We start from the raw sequence: 5,016 nt of genomic DNA, 5'->3' as shown, positions 1-5,016 counted from the left end.
TCAAGTTTTAAGACCTTGCAGGGTCAATTTCTATGATTATTTTTAAAAATAGCTTGTAATCCTAGAGCTTTGGGAGGCTGAGGCAGCAGGATTGCGGGAGGAGTTTGAGACCAGCCTGGGCAACACAACAAGACCCTATCTCTACAAAATTAAAAAAAATAATTAGCTCAGCACTGTGGCAGGCCTGTAGTCCCAGTTACTCAGGAGGCTGAGCAGGAGGATTGTGTAAGCACAGGAGTCCAAGGATTCAGTGAGCTATGATTGTGCTGCTGCACTCCAGCGTGCGTGACAGAGTGAGACCTTGTTAAGAAGAAGTAAAGATTAGTTTTATGGAAAAATTGGGCAGGTTCAATTAGGTTCAAACCTTCAAAAAAGGTTCAGCTCTTTTAATTTTAAATTTAAGCCAAATATCTCATTTTTTGTGCCTTGAACTTAGGATGTTTTCTATTTAGTCTTGAGTAGGCAGTTACTTACCTCTCTAGGTATATTTATTCCAAATTTTTAAAAATGAAATGGATGATCTAGATGAATGCTTTTCAAACTGTATTTTTTAGGCTTCAAAATTCTGCCAAATATAATGCAAAGCACAAACGTGGAGATTAAAGATTCTTAGTGAACCATGAAACAGAACAAATGAAGCAACACATATGTAAGCATATCATAGTTAAACTGCTGAAAACTAGGGAAAGAAAATATTCAAAGAAGACAGGGAGGGGGAAAATTGTGCATAGGGAAACAAGGATAAAAATTCCACTGAATTACCTTAAGAATCTACATAGACCATAATTGTGTAAGGCCCTGCCTGCCTTTGAACTGTTATATGAGATATAAATTAACTCTAGCTTTAGTCATAGTACAGTACCTTAGCCTTTATCTTAATTAATACAATGATGTACCTACAAGCCAAATTAAGAAATAGAACATGGTCAATACCTTAAAAACTTCATACGTGTTCTCCAATTGCATCCCCTTTGTCTCCAACTAAGAAACCAAACTGAAATTTGCTATTCATTGTAGGTGTACCTAGTTGATTCATATCACAAAATAATATGTTGTTTAATATTGCATGTTTTTGAACAAAAACTGACTGTTTTGTGTTGATTAATATGGAAATCCTTGAAAGAGAATAATTTCTTAATTGTTTAATGTTTTTCCCAAAGATTGTGAAACAGCCTGATTGAAAGGTATTATTGTGCTAAACATATTAAAAATAAAATGCATTTTCTGCTTTGACATTCTATCAGCTTATTTAAGTAAGAATTCACCATTCTCTTCTGCATCTCTTTAGGATTTATCTTTCATACTTCCTTTATAATAGATCACAGATCTGAACAAAAACTTACATATGAATTATAAGCATGTTATTTTATGTTTTTAAATTAAATATAACAGGAGGTATACACATATCCATGATGTATTGTGGTAAATTGTACATGTAAGTATGTGTACATAGAATATATGCTGAGTCAAATACAGACATGTATACTGTTCAACATTATATATAAATACCTAATATATCCCATGTTTCGTATTCTATATCCTTGCTCTAGTTTATGAATGGCAGTAAAATTCTGTTTATTTACCTAGACTTTAGCATAATAAAAAAATGCTAAGGTGTATTTCAGTAGGATTGAAAATATAAACTCAAATATTTTCTCTTTTTAATGAAATATATGTAGTCTTCTTTCTATTTACATTTCATAAAATGTCAATGTATATGCATTTTTGCAAAGTACTTATGTTTTATATTCTATTTGAAATAATTTTGTTTCCCTTCATGGATGTCATCCCTAGAAACAAATCTAATAGAGAAACTCAATAGGAGACTTTCAGTGACAAGCTACATAGAAACTAGAGTACTTGTAGGGACTTTGAATTTCATTGCGTATTTCAGCTCCATATAATTGAACTATTATGGGACTAAATAATTTCTTTTAGATGAAATTATTAGGGAACCATCAAAAATCAACAAATATTGCTAAGACTAATTACAATTTCATGAAGGATAAATATTGATTTATATATTGCTTCAGAAAAGAAACTCTAAAAGTTATATAGATCATTTTTAATTCACTATTTCTTTTGCTATATAAACAAATCTTCTAAATAAAGCATTATTTTTATTCCCAAGATAAAGAATAAAAATACAGAAAACTAAGATTATCATGCAATTTTACAGCTGTATATAATTCCAACACACCATCCTAGATGTTTCAATTTCCATATTATTATGTTGCATGTGATCATATATGTTGAGTGTGAACTGTTAAATATTTGGAGGTAAAGTGAAGTAATAACATCTTGTTTGTAAGACTGTATTATTTTCCTATTAGTAGAAGTGTTAACACTACAGATAAAATCATTTGATTGCCTTTTCCTAAAGGAAGGTTCTATTTCCTAATTTAGACATTTTTTGTGCCTTCTGGTATAATTAATTGCATATATCCATGTTACATAGAAAATATGTACACTGTAGCAACTGTTCACTTAAAAATGATGTCTTTGTCACATTTTCCCTTTCAGAATTTTTCTAAACATGATTCATCAATTTTCCTAAGTAAATGATTCACCTGACTTGAAAAGCTATAGAACACAGATATTTGTCGCTATGCAAACTTTATTATTTTTCTGCAATTCTGGCTTGCATAAGTAACTTTTTTTTTTAATTTTATAAACATAGAGTTGAAAGTTAAATAATTTTTTATGATTCCTAAAAGTGTATCTGGATAAGTATCATTCCCTGTGAAAAGGAAGTTTGATTCATACATATACCTCCAAAGTGGATAGTTCAGAGATACAAAATCAATCCATCGTTAATCTAAGCAATGTAATACTTTACAATTTTTAAAACTTGTGTAGTAATTATATGTATATGTAATTTGCACCAGGTACTCATAAACAAGTATAATTTAGGTTAAGATTAAAAATGTAAGCCAAAGAGGGCAGAGTACGATGGCAGAAGAGAAGCCTACACTGTTCATCCCCACTCCCCCACCGCACTGGAACACCAAATTTTAACAACCATTTGCACACAGAAAAGCACCATCACACCGTCACAACAAACAAAAATCAGGTGAGCAATCATACTTTCTAGTTTTAACTTCATATAGCTAAAGGAGGCGTGGGGGAGGACAAGAGAGATAGTCTTGAATCACTGATGCCACCCATCCCTCATGTCTAGGCAACAGCTGAGTAGTAAGGAGAAAGAATCTGTGCACTTTGGGGAGAGTGCAGTGACACTCTCTGTGGGACAATACATTGAACTCAGTGCTGCCCTGTCACAGCAGAGAATGAACTCTTGCTGGGCTCAGCCAGTGGCTGTGCATGTAGGGAGCATTTGGACTCACCTTAGTCAAAGGGGATTCACCCATCCCAGTGATCAGAATTTGAGTTTCTCAACAAGCCTTTCCACTGTGGGCTAAAATTCTCTGGCGTACTAGGTAAACTTGAAAGACAGCCTACAACACAAGAACTCCAATTCCTGGGCAACTCCTAGTGTTAGGTTTGGCTTAGAGCCAGCAGGCTAGGGTGGCATGTGACCTATGGAAACACCAGTTGGTGCTGCTAAGAGAGTACTTGTTCCATTTCTCCCCGAAACCCAGGTAGTGCAGGTCACAGCAACAAAAGTGGCTCCTTTTTATCTGTGTAAGTAGAGGAGCACAGTGTAACAGGACTTTGTCTTGCATCTTGGATACCAGCTCAGCCACAGCAGGACAGGGCACTGACCAGGATTGTGAGGCCCCCATTTTAGGCCCTAGCTCTCAGATGACATTTATGAACACACCATGGGTCAAAAAGGAAGGGAAGGATACAGTTTTTGCAGGGTTGATCACCTACTGGCTAAAGAGCCCTTGGGCCCTGGGTTACCATCAACAATACCCAGGTAGTATGCCATGGGCCTAGGGCACTAAGACATGCTGATTTCTGGTGTGACCTAGCACATTCCCAGCTGTGGTGACTATGTTGAAAGACTCCTGTTTGAAAAAAGCAGAGGGAAAAATAAAGGGAACTTTGTCTTGCAGCTTAGGTACCAGCTTGTCCAGAGTGGGGTAGAGCAACAAACAGGCTTTTAGGGTCCCCAAGTCCAGGCTTAGGCTCTTGGACAGCATTTATGAACCTGCCTTGGACCAAAGGGGAGCCCACTGTTCTGAAGGGTGAGTCCCCGGACTGACAACGTTTACCAAAAGCTGGCTGAAGAGCACTTGGGCTTTAGGGGAATATCAGTGGTGGCCTGGCAGAACTCCCTATGGATCAGTGGTGGTGGTGGATACAGGGAGAGGCTTCTCTGCCTGTAGAAAGGGGAGAGAAGAGTAGGAATGACTTTATATTGTAGTTTGAGTGCCAAATCAGCCACAGTACACCAGAACACCCAGTAAACTGCTAAGGTATTTGACCTAAATACCTGGCTCCAAGGCAGCATGTCTGGACATGCCTCGGTCCTGGTAGAAATCACTGCCCTGAAAGGAAACGCTTTGGGAAACACCTGGTACTGTGCTGGCTTCAGGTATGACTCAGCACCATCCCAGTGGTGTTGATCACTGGGGAGCTTGCATCACCACACCCCCACTTCTAGGTGTCTCAGCACAGAGAGAGAGAGACTTCATTTGTTTGGGAAAAAGTAAGGGAAAAGAATAACAGTCTTTGCTTATATTGCAGAGAATGTTTCTGGATCTTATCCAATAACACCAAGGTGATACCTCTACAGGTCTGCAAAAACTACAGCATTATTGAGCTTGGGGCCCAAGTCCCTTCAAATACCTGGAAAGCCTTCCCAAGAAGGACGGGAACAAAAAAGGCCAGACATTGAAGACTACAAAAAATATCTAACTCTTTAAAGCCCAGACACAGACTAACAGCTACAAGCATCAACATTTTCTAGGAAAACACGACCTCACCAAATAAACTAAATAAGACACCAGGAACCAATCCTGGAGAAACAGAGATATATGATCTTTCAGATAGAGAATTAAAAATAGCTGTTTTGAGGAAACTCGAAGAAATTCAAAATTCTATCAG

The 5,016-nt window shown here is 37.1% G+C and overlaps 1 annotated feature.

The window, feature by feature from the left end:
* Positions 4,314-4,603: an enhancer, noted in NCBI's record as "active region_29795". NCBI's record gives its function as "activates an Ori minimal core promoter by ATAC-STARR-seq in GM12878 lymphoblastoid cells {active_cell/tissue: GM12878}" and the evidence as "EXISTENCE:reporter gene assay evidence [ECO:0000049][PMID:35858748]".

Source organism: Homo sapiens, chromosome X (genome assembly GCF_000001405.40).
Source record: "Homo sapiens chromosome X, GRCh38.p14 Primary Assembly".
In the NCBI taxonomy this organism is placed as follows: domain Eukaryota; kingdom Metazoa; phylum Chordata; class Mammalia; order Primates; family Hominidae; genus Homo; species Homo sapiens.
This window is presented reverse-complemented; position numbering and strand designations above follow the sequence as displayed.